We start from the raw sequence: 17,977 nt of genomic DNA on the forward strand, positions 1-17,977 counted from the left end.
ATGACAAAGCAGCCCCGGCAACTTGGGGGCAGCCATGAAGGACAGCAGGCTCCGTGTAAGCAAGGGCATAAGCATGCTGTGAAATGAAGCGGTAGAATTGTCAAGAACAGTGGCTCCTGCTCACTGTAGTTGTACCCTAAGTTTATTTGGGATCTGGGTGGGGTAAGAAAGGGTTTCCTTTCAGGGTGTGGGTTCTCTTTAGACCAGGGCCTTACTAGTGCACGACACTTTACCATAGTGACACCAGTGCACCCTCGTATATTGGTAATATGCATGTGTATAATATAAATATACACAATATGACATATTATATATCTATATTGGTATATACAAATGTATATTGGTAGTGTGTGTGCGTGTGTGTGTGGTGTGTGTGTATGTGTGTGGTGTGTGTGGTGTGTGTGTGTCTGATGTGTGTGTGGTGTGTGTGTGTGTCTGGTGTGTGTGTGGTGTGTGTGTGTGGTGTGTGTGTCTGGTGTGTGTGGTGTGTGTCTGGTGTGTGTGGTGTGTGTGTGGTATGTGTGTATGTGTGTGGTGTGTGTGTGTGGTGTGTGTGTGGTGTGTGTGTGGTGTGTGTGTGTGTGGTGTGTATGTGTGGTGGTGTGTGTGTGGTGTGTGTGGTGTCTGTGTGTGTGTGGTGTGTGTGTGTGGTGTGTGTGTGTGTGTACTATACAGACAGTATAGCTTAGGGGTCGGCATATGGGCTTGGCCTCAGAAAACCTGTGTTCAAATTCTGGCTGTGCCTCTTGCTAGCTGGACAAGTTTCTTAACCTCTTCTTCATTGTTAAAATGGAAATAATAATACTACCTAGCTCGTGGGATTGTTGTGAGACAACAACAAATGAGACAACAGAGATCTGAAACTCTGCCTGGCCCCTGGTATATACCAAGTCCACAGTTAAATTAGCCTTTGTTACTAAATCATTGTTTGGGTAGAAATCCTCAGATTTTGGATTTCTCAAGTGCTCCTTTTCTACTGTCCAAAAGGCAGAATGTTATTTTTGCTCGATTCCATTATGTAATATCCTATGAATTTGAAATTTCGGAGGAGGCACAGCATGGGGCTGTGGAAATGGTGCAGGTATCTGCATCCGAAACTCCGAAGTTGTGTGGGGAGGTCCTCTCTCCTGAGCCCAGAGGCAAAAAGCTGCTCCCAAGAAATGATCTTTATGCCCCACAGTCCAAAGCCCCACATTAAACAAAGTCTCAAGACAAGAAGGCAATGTGACCCTGGCCCCCATGTTTTGTTTTGACTTTTAATTTCAAAATAATATCATTGTGGGGGGGCTTATAGTTTTTAACAGCTGAAAGTTATATAGACAGAAAAAATGCTCAGTGAGTAGAAAAGGGAAAAACCTTAACTTTTAAGAAAACGTGATTAATCAAGAGATATTATGCTTGACCTCAGGCCATCACTTTGAACTCTGTCACTGGTTGAAAATGGCTTCCCATAAACACAAACATAGTCCCCTACTCATTACTGTGGACCTAGGGCATTGCTTATCTAACTGGGCCCGTCAGAATCACCTGGGGTACCTTTCAAAGATGCCATCCCACAGATGGATCACTTGAGGTCAGGAGCTCAAGACCAGCCTGGCCAACGTGGTGAAACCCTGTCTCTACCAGAAAATTAGCTGAGTGTGCTGGCATGCGCTGTAGTCCCAGCCACTTAAGAGGCTGGGGCAAGAGAATCACTTGAACACAGGAGGCGGAGTTCGCAGTGAGCTGAGATTGTGCCACCACACTCCAGACTGGGAGAGAGTGACTCTGTCTCAAAAAAAAAACAAAAACAAAAACAAAGATGCCATCCCAGAACCCCACCCATGATCTTCAGAATCAGATTCTATAGGGGTAGGCCCGGGAATCAGCACTGATAACAAGCTTCCTGGTTGAATTGAAGCCCATTAATGTGAGAGCCACTAGCTGGTGTGTACCTTGGCGGGGAACTGGTATTAGAGTCTGATTCTGCCCTAAGGTCCTACATGCATTATTCACTTAGGATGGTAATAAGTCACCTTATGACACTCTTTTGGTTGCACATTCTGCGAAGGTAGTTTTAAACCAAGACGTGGCCCTACAGACTATTATTTCATAACCGCATCGCAGCGGATTTTAGGAATTGGCCTGGGTCTAGGCTACCACCTTCATCAAGGGCTTGGGAAGACTAAATGCTCTCTGTTGAGAAAGGAACTCATAGTCTTCCAGGGCCAGCAGAATTCACAACTCCAAATGTAAAAGTATGCCTTGTGTGAGTCTTGCAATTGTTTTGGAAATAGAAACACCTGCTTCATATCAATATTCACATTGTTTTGCTCTCATCCTGGACTAATTATTGAAAGGTTGATTGTGCCTCAACTTCCTTATCTATAAAATGAAGTCATCAACAGCATTAAATGAGCTTAACACATATAGTCAGTAGATCTTAGCTGAGCAGATGATGGCAATGATGTTGATGATGCAGCTATTTCCACATTAGGGATATTTGGATTGCTTCCCATTGGAGAACCTGCTGTTATTGCCCCTACTGAACACCCAACTCCCTATCCTCAGCCAGGTGTTATTTAGGTGTAAAAGAAAGTCTGAACTGGAGAATAAGGAGCCAAAAAACGAACAAAGAGTTTTCTTTAAAAAAAATAATTTTTGGCAATTGGTGGTGAAATGTGGATTTGTCATCTTGATAGAATAGTGTTGCCACCCTTCCTTCCGAGCAACTTAGGATTGAGTCAGAAGGTGTCACATCAGGCAGATTTGTTGAACAGTTTGGCAATGGTGACAGTGTTCCTACAGCCTACAAGGGTTTCCTGGAGTCTGTAATTTAAGCCACTTGATAGGTTGGAGTTCTGTTGTTTAAAAATTGGGCTGTTCTTATACTCAGCAGACATTATATTCTTCCTTGAGATAGTATTTTTGAGTTTGTCTTCATTAAAGAAGTCTCCAGGCCAGGGGTAGTGGCTCACACCTGTAATCCCAACACTTTGGGAGGTTGAGGCGGGCAGATCACCTGAGGTCGGGAGTTCGAGAACAGCCTGGCCAATATGGAGAAACCCCGTCTCTACTGAAAATACAAAATTAGCCAGGTGTGGTGGTGCATGCCTGTAATGCCAGCTACTCGGGAGGCTGAAGCAGGAGAATCCCTTGAACCTGGGAGGCGGAGGTTGCGGTGAGCCAAGATTGCGCCATTGCACTCCAGCCTGGGCAACAAGAGCGAAACTCCAATCCTAAAAAAAAAAAAAAGAAGAAGGAAGTCTCCCTGTAAGAGTGAGGTCAGGACACTGCCATAAATGCAAGTGCAGCAGCATGAGAGGAGAGGGTAGACTGGGGAACTTGACTGACTTGGTTCAAATCATAACTGTGTAGTCTTGAGTACGTCCATTTTTGAATGTTTGGTTTCCTTCCTTGCAACATGTGAAAAATGCCTACCATGAAGAATAGTTTTGTTTGTACTACCCTTGACCTCTTACTGTTTTGGAAAGAACTCTTGACCACAACAAAGAGGAATGTAATTATGGCTTAATCTATGCCAAGCTGAGTCACTTTTCTGGATTATTCTTCTTATTCAGTAGTCCTAAACCCCCCAGACCTTCATTTCACCTGCCAGAAAATCATTATCTCTACAGATCTATACACCCAGCTAGAACAAGAAAAAAAGTTCTCTATCATCAGCCAGATGTTACTAAATATTCCCATACTTGGTATCATTTGGAGAATATAGACTATTTTTCTTTTCATTTGCATATTTAGTATTACATCAATCAAGCCATCCACATAACTTTGATGATTCAATTTGGCTTCTTTATTGTTATAATTAGGTTTTAAACTGCCTTAAAGACAAGGAATTTGGTGGTGGTGATGGTGGTAGTGAGATGAGTTTCCAATTCTTTTTATCTGCATTTCTAGTGATTTTTACCTAGTAATCTTGCAAATAAAGCATCTCTGGCCACTGTAGCTTCTGGCTAATCCCCAAGGCCAGCAGGGCCACTCATACCTCAGGGCCTTTGCACTTGCTGTTCCCTCTGCCTGAAATGTCCTTCCTCCATATGGACAAGGCTCACTTCTTCCAGGCCGCTGCTCACATGTTGCTTTATCAGATGGGCCTTCCCAGCCCACCCACGTAAATAGCATCTTCATCGCTCTCTGTCATTCACAGCACTTATCACCACTTGACGTAGTTATATTTGTTCCATGTTTATTGTTTCTCTCTTCCCCAGTTGAATGTCAAGTTCATGAGATCAGGGGCTGTGTTTCTTTTCCGTGGTGTATTCCCAGAGCCTTCAGCATAAGTTTTGTTGACTGAATTGGGCATCTGCTGTATGTATACCCCTAGACTGAGTGCTGTGGGTGGTGTGATCTTCACATGCCCTGCTACATTGGATTTTTATAATATCCCCATGAACATGGCAGGTAAATAGCATCATCACTACTTTACAGATGTAGAAACTGAGGTCCAGAGGGGGTGGTTTCCAAAGGGCTGACAGCTCCACAAATTGATAGAGCCAACTTAAGTCCTCAAGCAACTTAAGCCCAATTAGGGAGACATTTACATCTGAAAAGTTATCACAAGAAGGATAAACATTCCCATTCACAGCTCACCACATCTAAAGAGATCAGGCAATACTAAGCCATCAGGCAAGAAGTAGTCTGTGTGGTGTTGATCCCATGTAGTCAGACAGCTGAGCTGGGCGAGTTACTCAACCTCTCTACACTCCAGTGTCATCACTTCTGAAATGAGAATAATAATATGAGATAATATTATGAGGATAATAAAATGGGATATAGGATTGTTGTGAGGATAAATGAGTGTGTATACATGGTGCTTAAAGTAACACACAGAAATTATAAATTAATATATACTGGGTGTGTGTTCATGTGTCTGTCTGTGTGTCTGTTAGTGTATTTTATGTGTCTAACAGACACACACACACACACACACACACACACACACAGGCAATGACCGTGAGTGCTATGAGGTGGAGAGGCAGACTGTGTTTCCCCTAAGGTGAAGAGGCTAGAGAAAGGGATAGGGATGTTCTCTCTCAATGAAGCTAGCTGATGTCTACAAAGAAAAAGGTCGCTCATGGCCTTAGTAGCACCCAGTTTTTGTCCAACTGTGTCATTCATGTGTGGAGGCGATTCATGGATCATACCTGGTTCTCCTGAAATGTCAAACACGGCCACCTAGGCAGCATTTACAAGCAAGAGTCCACTGCTTTTTTGATGTATATCTTAAGCGCCCCCAGTGAATGAACAGCATATAACTCCACATAAAAATCATTAAACGTAATTGACTTCCAGAGCAGGCAGTTCTGTTGTATGCCTCTGGAGAAGGCTGGCTGAATTGGAATTGGTCTGTACCTTCTGCCTATCATGTACATGAGGTTTTTGGGCAAAGAGAACTTTCCACAAAATAAGTCCAAAAATTATAGATCATCAGACAACCAATAACATATTGATGAGATATCTCCAAGATCTAGAATCATCCTGGGTGTCAAGGAAGTCTTTGGGGTTTTTACAAATATTGATAATGCACTTTTTATAAAATGCACTTTTTATAAAAATGCATGCTCAGTTGAGACAACTTGAAAAACACAAAGAAAAGGCCGGGCGTAGTGGCTCACGCCTGTAATCCCAGCACTCTGGGAGGCCGAGACGGGTGGATCACGAGGTCAGGAGATTGAGACCATCCTGGCTAACATGGTGAAACCCCGTCTCTACTAAAAATACAAAAAATTAGCAGGGTGTGGTGGCGGGCGCCTATAGTCCCAGCTACTCAGGAGGCTGAGGCAGGAGAATGGTGTGAACCCAGGAGACGGAGCTTGCAGTGAGCGGAGATCCCGCCACTGCACTCTAGCCTGGGCGACAGAGCGAAACAAAAAAAAAAAAGACAGAAAAAGAAAAAAAGAAAAACACAAAGAAAAAAACCCAAGCACTCCAAATCACCCTGTTCCGACAGAACGATCATGTGCCACACGTTTTCCATTCATAGAAGGAAGGATTGTTGTGTGGGTGATCTCATCCAGCCCCTGGGCAGAAGGAATTTTCTGCCACCCCTGACAGACAGCCAGCTTCCTCTGAATGATGATATCCTGCCTGGTCTCACTTTCCAGGGTTCTGAATTTGGCAAAGCGCATCTCCCTGACGTGCATGCAGGCAGGGAACACTGTCCCAGGGTGGCACATTTGCAAGCTGCCTTTGATGCTGAGAGTTGCACTGAGAGCAGGACTTTGCCCTCCTGGAGGCAGAGGTTTCTGCCAGTTGCTTCTTTGTACAGTTGCTTCTTTGTACTGGATGGGGTCTGTGAGTCTTGCCCCCAAACCATCTCAACATATGCCCATTTTCTCTAGCAGTTGAGAATCTAAAGCCATCTGCCAGGTTGTTCCCTTTCAAATTCTGTCTCTGCCACTTACTAGCTGAGGGATCCTGGGTGAGTTACTTACTGACTGGAAGCCTCAGTTCTCTAATCTGAGAGACAGCGCTCACAAAAGCACTTATTCCATTGTCATGATGTGAGGACTAAGCAAGTGAATAGATGCAAAGCTCCACATGCCTGTGTGCTGGGGACCCAGTGACTCAATAAATGCTAGCTATGGCTGGTGCCGCTGCTACCCTAGATTTTATGCCCTTACCCAGTTCTGACTTACATCAGTTGATTTGTGAGCCGAGGTGTTCCCTTTCATGCTTTGGGGAGCTGGGAATCAAACCCCCAAAAAGAGAAAACCCAAGCATCAGATTCACTTTTCTTTAGGAACAGGGGGAACTAACAGATATAAGCTGCTTGATGTTGAGTGGAAAAAAGTCCCTATTTTATTTTTCCATTTTATTTTAAAAAGAAGTTCCAAGTAACCCTAACCAAAGTTCAAAAAAAACCAACTCTTGAAGGGCAAGGAAGTCAGAATGGTAGTTAGGTACAAATAATGTAATCTATAGGACTTCCGAGTATGCAACAAGCTCTTATACACAGAAAAATGTTTATCGGGGTGCTTACCTTTTTGTGCCATGGATACCTTTGGCAGTCTGGTGAAATATATGGACCCTTTACAGAATAATGTTTTTAGATGTATAAAATAAAATACATAGGATTATAAAGGAAACTGGTTATATTGATATTTATCATCAAAATAATAAAAAACCATGCTTATGATATAGGAAACATGTGCTCCTTATTCATGCATTAAATATGATCTATGGGTGAGACTAATAACAACTGTAATTTCAAAGTATGATGAATGAATGTCATCAGCATTTTGGAACATCTGCAGGATTCTAATATGACATGAAATATCTGTGATTTCCGTTGTTAAAAAAGACACAGGTATTGCTAATGTTACTTTGTGTTCATACTTGAAGAAAATGCTACATTCCAGTTTGAGGTTAGTGAAAATAAAGATGAATGTTTTCCCCATCCAAGTTCATATATATACTGTTTGGGCATCTGTAGACCCCCAGGTTAAGATCAACCATGCTGAGGAAATGGCAGCTCTAGAAATGATGTGGAAGCAGGTTGTCCTTCAAGGATTTTTTCCAGTCACCAGCTCTGTTAACTGGGTCATTCTAGAATCCCAGGGAATGGGGAAGGTAGTGAGCTGACTCCTGAGAATTGGCTATGTCTGGGGTTCTTTTTCCTTCATCCCTTCAGCAAATCTTCGCTCAGAGCCCTCTGGATGCAGAACCAGCTCCCCTTGGCAATTCCCTTTTAATTTGCATGTGCAAGTATGGCCACCAGGAGACATGACAAACAGTGCAGATGCCAGGCATGGGAGGAAGAGAGAAAGAAAGCATAAATTCTTCAAAACGGCGTTTTGGGGGAGGAGTGATGAAAGCTATGTCAACTGTACATTATTGAGTGTCTCGCCAGATTTGGAAACAGCATTAACAGCATTAAGATGTTCAAGGAAACTTTCTAGTGTTCATTTAGACAGATACAATATCTTCTCAAGGAGTCGCTAAAGGAATTTGATATTCTAAAGAGATGGTGAGCTGCTATACAGCCAGGGTTACGTAGAAGTATTTCAAAGAGGTTAAACATTTCTGGAAACTTTTTTTTTTACCTAACCATCTACTAGATTTGTTCAATTCTTAAAAAGGTCTATTGAAATCTCTCACTATAATTGCATTGTTTCAAGGTTTTCAAGTGAATCTCCCACAATAATTGCATTTTCATTTTGCAATAGCAAAGCACTTAAGCAAAAGTTATTACATCTGTAACAATTACCTATAATAATTTTTGCTTAAGTGCCATGTTATCAGATGCATAAAGTTTTATGATTGCTGTAGCTTCTCCGTCAATAGTGCTTTTTATCATTATATCATATATCCATTCATATCCATATATCATATCATTATATCATATCCATTCTTAACCTCATCAACCTTAAATTATACCTTGTCACTCCTCTTTTGCCTTGTTTGCATTTGATTGGTATGGTCACCCATCAGTCATCCTTCACTCACCACATTGTCTTCAGTGCTTTTCTTTTAAACACCATATAGCTGGGCTTCTTTCTTTATCTTTCTCTTTATTTATTTATTTTCTTTTATACTCACTGAGACACTCTGGCTTTTGCTGGAAGAATGAAGTTTATTCTCATTTGGTGTAATAACTGATACACTTGATTGTATTTCTTCCATCTTTTTGTTTATTATTTCATTTTGTGGCTTCTTACTTTCTCTTTAGTTTTGCAGTCAGATTCTAAGTTGTTGTATTTCAACTTTTAAATTTGAAAATTATTATTTACGTTTCCTAAATTTTCCAAATTCCTGAAGTAATTCTTCACTACTATTTGAAAATAAACTTCCAACTATTTTCTCCACCAGTGCCTTCCAGCTCCGCTCCTCCCTCTGTGAGATGAGACTTCAGAGCTGTATTTTCTCCCTTGCCTTCCCTCCTCTCACTAAAATTAGCCAGTTGAAATGCCTACCCTCTCCCCATCAACTTCCAACTTCCAGATTTTGCAAAAATAGTTTAATGCTTTATTTCTAGAAAACAATTAGATTTTTCTTTGTCCTTTTTACTTCAAGAATATTTAGCACATACATTTCACATTTGCAGTCCACATAACCCTATGTGCCGAGCTTGTCCAACCCACGGCCTGCAAGCTGCATGTGGGCCAAGATAGCTTTGAATATGGCCCAACACAAATTCGTAAACTTTCTTAAAACATTATGAATATTTTTTTGCAATTTTTTTAAAAAGTCCATCAGCTATCATTAGTGTTAGTGTGTTTTATGTGTGGCCCAAGACAATTCTTCTTTCAATGTGGCCCAGAGAAGCCAAAAGATTGGACACCTCTGCTATATATACTCAAGTTTACAGCATGCCACTGGTGGCTTTTTTTCCTTCCCCTTTTCTCTAGTTTGGTGTCTCCATTTGGATGCATTTGCTATTTGGATGGAGCTCTTTTGTGAATCTAGTGGTCCCTTGAGGTCCTGGGGAGGACTAGTTCCAGGACACCTCCCCCAAACTCAAATCCACAGATGCTCAAGTCCCTCATGTAAAATGGCATAGATATTTGCCTGTAACACACACACATCCTCCCATGTACTTTAAATAATCTCTAGATTACTTATAATACGTAATACATTGTAAAGGCCATGCAAATAATTGTTATACTGTATTGTTTTGATTCATATTACTTTTTGCCATTGTACTTTTATTTTTCATTTTTTCTAATATTTTCAATCCATGGCTGATTGAATCCAAGAATGCAGAACCTGGAGATACTGAGGGCCGACTGTATTTTTTCAAATGAGATATTTGGGTGAAATACACTGCTCTTTCACCCTGATAAGTGAGAGATAGCTTGTTGGTGTATGGGATTTATGGAGTGAAATACTTTTTTCCTGTAGTCTGTAAGAGTTCCTGTCCACTGTCATTTGGTTTCTAGTGTTGAGATGAGAAGACTGAAGCCAGGCTTATCTTTTTTGGAGGTAACTTGCTATTTCTGTCCAGGAAGTTCCAGGATGTTTTCAAGTCTTTCTTCTTTTCCGTCATGATTTCCATCTATGCTCTATCCTTTTGCTTTGCGCTTTGAAATTGTTTTTGACTTGATATTTTCTGACACTATTGAGATTGCTAAATTGACCACCTATCCTTTCATTTGCTCAACTTCAAAAAATGTTTAGATCAATAATCATATTTGTATATCAGAATTTTGCATGCGTGTGCTCCACAAGTCTTCTGTTTTTCTTAAGTGCTCTTTTATGTTCTGTTCGAATTGATGCCTCCAACAGAAGTTCTGCCAATTTTCTTTGCAGTTCAAAGGCCCCCACTGGATGTGTTGTTTTTCATCCTTGGCTCGTTTGGCTCAGGTGTGACTGTGAGGTAATCTCATCAGTGATGGATTAGTGATGTCTGTCAGGCCCGCTACTTGGTCCCAGTCTCCTTCTGCTCGCCCAGCTCTCTGCTCACCTGTTCCATGCCTTTGGGCCTTATTAGGGGATGGGGAGTTCTTCCCGTGGGGTGAGATAGATGGAAGGGTGGGAATCTGTGAGTCTCTGTAGAGTGAACTCTTCTTAGGATCCAAAGCTCCTCCAGCTCTGCTCTAGACCTCTTCAGCCTCTCTTTCCAGCCTCTGCTAGACTTTCCAATAATCCACATTTCAAACTTCACCTTTCTCAGCTGCCTGTGAGCCCCACCAGCTGCTGGGCTCAGAAGGGGCAGACAGAGTTGATTTGGGAGTAGAGAGGGTATGAAAGACATTTAGGGCAGGGCTTTCCCGAATCCATCTGTAAACTGTTACTACTTTATATTTATAAAAGTGAAACACAATGATTGTAAAAATAAATAGAACAGAATTTTTCAAAATAAAAAGTAAAAGGATCTCCTTGTTTCTGTCCATTCTTCAGTGGTAGTCCCTGCTAATATGTTGGTGGGTCCTTCAAATATTCTCTATGTACTTACATATATATACATATATATATTTAAAAATACAAGTGGGATCACACCATAAACACAGTTTTGCAACTTGGTATTTTCTCCTCAATATGTTAAGAATATTTTTGTTAATGTGAATTCATGTAGGCTTTCCACATTTCTTTTGATGACTGCATGATTTTTAAGTGTGAATTATCAAAATGTGTTTAACGGATGTTTGTTATACGCAGTTTTCTCTATCCTAAACAGTGATGCTTTGAAAATCTTTGTGTGCATCTGAAGGTATTTCTGTAGACCTGATTACTAGATATGGAATATGTGGGTCAAAGGATATATGCATTAAAAATTTTAATAGCTTCTGCCAAATTTCTTTCCAAGAGGTTGAGCATGTTATTCTTGCATCTGAGAGTAACAATATGGAATATGAGAACTGCTGTTTCTCATACTCTGGCTGATGCTGTATTATCAAGTTTTAGTTTTTTGTTAGTTTGAAAAATAGGCCGGGTGTGGTGGCTCACGTCTGTAATCCCAGGACTTTGGGAGGCCGAGCTGGGTGGATCACGAGGTCAGGAGTTCGAGACCAGCCTGGCCAACATGATGAAACCCCATCTCTACTAAAAATACAAAAATTAGCCAGGTGTGGTGGCACTCACCTGTAGTCCCAGCTACTCAGGAGGCTGAGGCAGGAGAATCACTTGAACCTGGGAGGCAGAGGTTGCAGTGAGCCGAGATCATGCCACTGCACTCCAGCCTGGGAACCAGAGCAAGATTCCATCTCAAAAAATAAATAAATAAATAAATAAATAAATAAAAATAAAAGTAGTATCCTACTTTGCTTTAATTTGAAAATTTTAAATTATGACTGTGTGGTGCATTTTTTTATATGCTCATTGTCCAATTATTTTTCTTCCGTGAATTGCTTCTTCAGGATTTTTCTTCCTTTGCCCATTGAATTGCTGATCTTTTTCTTGATTTGCAGGAGTTCTTTTTAACTTAAGGAAGTTAGTTCCATGTCTGTCATTTCTGTTGCAAAAATGTTTCCCAGTGTATTTTTTTGTCTTTAGCATTTTAGTTTTTTTTTTTCTGTACTGCGTTTTTAAAGTTGTGTTGTTTTTATTAACCTTTCGACCTTTTTCTTTAGGTTTCATGTCTTGCTTAGAAAGATCTTCCTTACTTTAAGATGACAGCTGTCCAAAAAATTAACTCATGGTTTCTTCCTCTACTTTTATGGTTTCATCTTTCACATGTAAATCTTTGATCTGTATCAAATGTATTTTGGTGTAAGGAGTGGAGAAGGAATCCAATATAACTTGTTAAATTTTTTTCTAGATGGCTACTATTTCATCCAACATCATAGTTACAGTCCATCTTTTTCTGACTGACCTGGAACGCTACTTTTATCATAGATTGAATTCCCATGAGGCTGGGTTTTTTGTTGAATGATTTAAAGTCTATCCAAAGGGAGAGGCTCATAAATGAGTGTTTTGAGAGTTCGACTCATGAGTGAAGAGCACTCTATCCCTGGGAAAATGTCCAAGGGAGTGAAACTGGAACTTTCCCCCTTGCCTCCAGTTGGGCGTCCTTCTGTGCTCATCTGCCTTCTTGTTATTGGTATTACAGATATCTGAGAAATATGGGCTGCCCGTGGAGAAGATAGCAAAGCTTTACAAGAAAAGCAAAAAAGGGTAAGAAAGAAACTGAACTTAAATTGACTTTCAAATCAGATAAATCCACATGATGCCTTAAAAATAAAATGATGCCTGTCTTTTGTTAGGTCTGTTGCCCACTTTTCATAAAAATTGTGTCCTTCTTCCAGAGAATTGCAGAGGAGATTGCATTTGGAAGATCTTTAGGAGAGAGGGAGGGAGGGAGGCAGTGCACTGGCACTATGTCAACTGAGATGCCTATTTCAATGACAAGACAAGCAGGAAGACCACAGAGGTCTGGAGGTGCTGTGGACACTGGGGAGAATGGCAAAATCACCTTTCTGCAGGGAGTGGAGTTTATAGGGAATCACGTATGGCCCTTGGGGTTGGTTTCTGGGTGGCATACTAGGAACAAAAAATGGTTTGGAACATAGGGGATTCCTCTAAGGTAATTATCAAGAAAATGTTCTCAAATGATCATTGGACCTGTGTGTTCTCATTGTTAAGAACAACAGGTCATATTTACTGGGTGTTCAGTAGGTTTGGGGTCCCTTCCTAAGTACTTTACATGTATTCCTCTATTTAGTTCTCACCACTTTATGAGGTGGAATCTCTTATCGCTGATTTATTGATGAAGAAAGCAAGCCAGAGGGGGCTTAAGCATGTCGCCCAAGTCTCATGTTCAGTAGGTAGAGGACAGATTTGAACCCATCTGTGTCCTCAAAGCTCAAGTGCTTAGCTTCCACGTTCTGCCGTCTGACTTTCTGTGTGGGCTTCCTATGTGTGACGGTCTAAGAGTAGGGGCCACAGGAGCTAGTGGAAGTGCCAGGAGAGGGTATCTGTTGACTCAGCTTCTGGGGTATTTTCCTACAAAAGGCAGAAGATGAGTCAACTCTTCTCCGGATCACTTTCATAAAGGAAATTGGATTATCTGGGAAGCTCAGGCTTTCTGAGTGATGAGTCCTGTTGGTTGATTGGAGGATCTGACAGGAAACCCTTTCCACCTGAGCTCTTGTTGGAAGATTCACTAAAATGCACGTTATACTTCTTGCCGAGGTCAATGTAGTAGGCTGGGTGTATTACTGACAGTGAGATTTCAGTCGTGTCTCACAGTCTTATTGCCGAGCAGAAATCCTCAGTGCAGAGGTACATGCTGATGATAACATTTTGCTTTCATCAAGCTCTGTATCAGGTGTTGTGCTAAATGTTTTTATCATAAAAACAATCCGTTAAAGCTAAGTGACTGTTCTTATTTTTACAGGAGGATAAACTGAGGCTCTGAAAGGCTAAACAGCTTGCCTGCTGACACATAACTGTAAAATGATAGAGTCAGTCAGTGGTTCATTCTCAAACCAGCATCTGTCTGACTTCAAATCATGAAATTGGCTTAAGGAAATTATGGAAGTCTCTGGAAGCTGTTGGCTTTCTTAAAACTCTATCAGGGATAGTTAGCCACAGGAGTAGGTCACAGGTGGTAAAGTACAAGTGTCAGAATGAGGTAAAGCTAATTTCAAAATCAAGCTCAGCCATGTGCTAACTGAATGAACTTGGGGAAACAATTTAACCTTGTTGAGGTCAGTTTTCTCATTTGCAAAATGGCAATGACACCTACCTTCACAGTTGCTGTGAGAACTAAACACAAGGTCATATTACATGCTCAAAAAAGGGTAGCTGCAATTCTTGCTTGTTTTCCTCTTCCTCCTAAGAGCAGAGGCAATGCATTTTTAAAAATGCATTTTCAAGGGCAACATGGTTTACTGAAAAGAGTTAGAGAGAGAGCCTAATGATTTAGGTTCTGGCCCTGGTAATCAGTAACTGTGATTCTGGGCTTCCTAACTTCCCTGGGCCTCAGTTTACTCATCTATAATGCAAGCGGTTTGGGTTGAATGTTAGTTCTGAGAAATTGAGGCTTTGCTTTCCTCAAACTAGTTTTTGGGCAAAGAAAACAGAATGAGGGTCTTTCCCTGCCTTGTGTCCTCTCTCCTCCACTCCTCCCAGCCTCCACCACAAAAGAATGGCTACGAGAACCCCCAGCCTGGAGCTCCCCTTGCCCTGGGCACATTGTTCACGGCGTCTTTGTTTTTCACACCCCTCCCCCCTCCATGGCAGCATCTTGGTGAACATGGATGACAACATCATCGAGCACTACTCGAACGAGGACACCTTCATCCTCAACATGGAGAGCATGGTGGAGGGCTTCAAGGTCACGCTCATGGAAATCTAGCCCTGGGTTTGGCATCCGCTTTGGCTGGAGCTCTCAGTGCGTTCCTCCCTGAGAGAGACAGAAGCCCCAGCCCCAGAACCTGGAGACCCATCTCCCCCATCTCACAACTGCTGTTACAAGACCGTGCTGGGGAGTGGGGCAAGGGACAGGCCCCACTGTCGGTGTGCTTGGCCCATCCACTGGCACCTACCACGGAGCTGAAGCCTGAGCCCCTCAGGAAGGTGCCTTAGGCCTGTTGGATTCCTATTTATTGCCCACCTTTTCCTGGAGCCCAGGTCCAGGCCCGCCAGGACTCTGCAGGTCACTGCTAGCTCCAGATGAGACCGTCCAGCGTTCCCCCTTCAAGAGAAACACTCATCCCGAACAGCCTAAAAAATTCCCATCCCTTCTCTCTCACCCCTCCATATCTATCTCCCGAGTGGCTGGACAAAATGAGCTACGTCTGGGTGCAGTAGTTATAGGTGGGGCAAGAGGTGGATGCCCACTTTCTGGTCAGACACCTTTAGGTTGCTCTGGGGAAGGCTGTCTTGCTAAATACCTCCAGGGTTCCCAGCAAGTGGCCACCAGGCCTTGTACAGGAAGACATTCAGTCACCGTGTAATTAGTAACACAGAAAGTCTGCCTGTCTGCATTGTACATAGTGTTTATAATATTGTAATAATATATTTTACCTGTGGTATGTGGGCATGTTTACTGCCACTGGCCTAGAGGAGACACAGACCTGGAGACCGTTTTAATGGGGGTTTTTGCCTCTGTGCCTGTTCAAGAGACTTGCAGGGCTAGGTAGAGGGCCTTTGGGATGTTAAGGTGACTGCAGCTGATGCCAAGATGGACTCTGCAATGGGCATACCTGGGGGCTCGTTCCCTGTCCCCAGAGGAAGCCCCCTCTCCTTCTCCATGGGCATGACTCTCCTTCGAGGCCACCACGTTTATCTCACAATGATGTGTTTTGCTTGACTTTCCCTTTGCGCTGTCTCGTGGGAAAGGTCATTCTGTCTGAGACCCCAGCTCCTTCTCCAGCTTTGGCTGCGGGCATGGCCTGAGCTTTCTGGAGAGCCTCTGCAGGGGGTTTGCCATCAGGGCCCTGTGGCTGGGTCTGCTGCAGAGCTCCTTGGCTATCAGGAGAATCCTGGACACTGTACTGTGCCTCCCAGTTTACAAACACGCCCTTCATCTCAAGTGGCCCTTTAAAAGGCCTGCTGCCATGTGAGAGCTGTGAACAGCTCAGCTCTGAGTCGGCAGGCTGGGGCTTCCTCCTGGGCCACCAGATGGAAAGGGGGTATTGTTTGCCTCACTCCTGGATGCTGCGTTTTAAGGAAGTGAGTGAGAAAGAATGTGCCAAGATACCTGGCTCCTGTGAAACCAGCCTCAGGAGGGAAACTGGGAGAGAGAAGCTGTGGTCTCCTGCTACATGCCCTGGGAGCTGGAAGAGAAAAACACTCCCCTAAACAATCGCAAAATGATGAACCATCATGGGCCACTGTTCTCTTTGAGGGGACAGGTTTAGGGGTTTGCGTTCGCCCTTGTGGGCTGAAGCACTAGCTTTTTGGTAGCTAGACACATCCTGCACCCAAAGGTTCTCTACAAAGGCCCAGATTTGTTTGTAAAGCACTTTGACTCTTACCTGGAGGCCCGCTCTCTAAGGGCTTCCTGCGCTCCCACCTCATCTGTCCCTGAGATGCAGAGCAGGATGGAGGGTCTGCTTCTAGCTCAGCTGTTTCTCCTTGAGGTTGCGGAGGAATTGAATTGAATGGGACAGAGGGCAGGTGCTGTGGCCAAGAAGATCTCCGAGCAGCAGTGACGGGGCACCTTGCTGTGTGTCCTCTGGGCATGTTAACCCTTCTGTGGGGCCAAAGGTTTGCATCGTGGATCCAGCTGTGCTCCAGTCTGTCCCCTCCTCCTCCACTCTGACTGCCACGCCCCGGACCAGCAGCTTGGGGACCCTCCAGGGTACTAATGGGGCTCTGTTCTGAGATGGACAAATTCAGTGTTGGAAATACATGTTGTACTATGCACTTCCCATGCTCCTAGGGTTAGGAATAGTTTCAAACATGATTGGCAGACATAACAACGGCAAATACTCGGACTGGGGCATAGGACTCCAGAGTAGGAAAAAGACAAAAGATTTGGCAGCCTGACACAGGCAACCTACCCCTCTCTCTCCAGCCTCTTTATGAAACTGTTTGTTTGCCAGTCCTGCCCTAAGGCAGAAGATGAATTGAAGATGCTGTGCATGTTTCCTAAGTCCTTGAGCAATCATGGTGGTGACAATTGCCACAAGGGATATGAGGCCAGTGCCACCAGAGGGTGGTGCCAAGTGCCACATCCCTTCCGATCCATTCCCCTCTGCATCCTCGGAGCACCCCAGTTTGCCTTTGATGTGTCCGCTGTGTATGTTAGCTGAACTTTGATGAGCAAAATTTCCTGAGCGAAACACTCCAAAGAGATAGGAAAACTTGCCGCCTCTTCTTTTTTGTCCCTTAATCAAACTCAAATAAGCTTAAAAAAAATCCATGGAAGATCATGGACATGTGAAATGAGCATTTTTTTCTTTTTTTTTTTTAACAAAGTCTGAACTGAACAGAACAAGACTTTTTCCTCATACATCTCCAAATTGTTTAAACTTACTTTATGAGTGTTTGTTTAGAAGTTCGGACCAACAGAAAAATGCAGTCAGATGTCATCTTGGAATTGGTTTCTAAAAGAGTAAGGCATGTCCCTGCCCAGAAACTTAGGAAGCATGAAATAAATCAAATGTTTATTTTCCTTCTTATTTAAAATCATGCAAATGCAACAGAAATAGAGGGTTTGTGCCAAATGCTATGAACGGCCCTTTCTTAAAGACAAGCAAGGGAGATTGATATATGTACAATTTGCTCTCATGTTTTAAAAAAAAAAAGGTAAATGTAACTTAATAGTTTTGTAAATGGGAGAGGGGGAATCTATAAACTATAAATACAGTTATTTTATTTTTTGTACATTTTTAAGGAGAAAAAATAAATATTCATAACATAAGAGTAAAACAACAGTGTCTGGTGCTTTCTGTGCAGCCAGTGTTGGGGATTTTTACCTTGTTGGAGAGAGGTTTCCATGTGACGTGGGAAAATTCTAGCTGCCCACCCTGCCTTCAGGTCCTGGGCTTCAACAGAGCAGGGATTTCCTGGTAAAGTTACTTTGCTGTGCTTCACCCCAGTGTTAAATGTGAAGAGGGCTGAAGAACTTCCAGGGCTTGTGTGT

The 17,977-nt window shown here is 42.8% G+C and overlaps 1 protein-coding gene across 4 annotated transcripts in view, besides 1 other annotated feature; it reads left to right on the forward strand.

The window, feature by feature from the left end:
- Positions 1 to 17,977, forward strand: part of GRHL2 (grainyhead like transcription factor 2) — a 188,762-nt gene that overhangs the window by 159,525 nt on the left and 11,260 nt on the right. For 3 of the 4 annotated variants that reach the window (NM_001330593.2, NM_024915.4, NM_001440448.1), the window contains exons 15-16: positions 12,491 to 12,555; positions 14,626 to 17,763. In NM_001330593.2, the coding sequence (NP_001317522.1) occupies positions 12,491 to 12,555; positions 14,626 to 14,740 (180 nt within the window). In that variant the 3' untranslated portion in view covers positions 14,741 to 17,763. Of the gene's footprint in view, positions 1 to 12,490; positions 12,556 to 14,625; positions 17,764 to 17,977 lie in introns of those variants that run through there. The other variant, NM_001440447.1, reaches the window with a different exon arrangement.
- Positions 4,120 to 4,980: an enhancer, noted in NCBI's record as "OCT4-NANOG hESC enhancer chr8:102668311-102669171 (GRCh37/hg19 assembly coordinates)". NCBI's record gives its function as "activates a minimal SCP1, AML or CMV promoter by ChIP-STARR-seq in naive and primed H9 embryonic stem cells {active_cell/tissue: H9 hESC(naive and primed)}" and the evidence as "EXISTENCE:reporter gene assay evidence [ECO:0000049][PMID:30033119]".

Source organism: Homo sapiens, chromosome 8 (assembly GCF_000001405.40).
Source record: "Homo sapiens chromosome 8, GRCh38.p14 Primary Assembly".
NCBI lineage: Eukaryota > Metazoa > Chordata > Mammalia > Primates > Hominidae > Homo > Homo sapiens.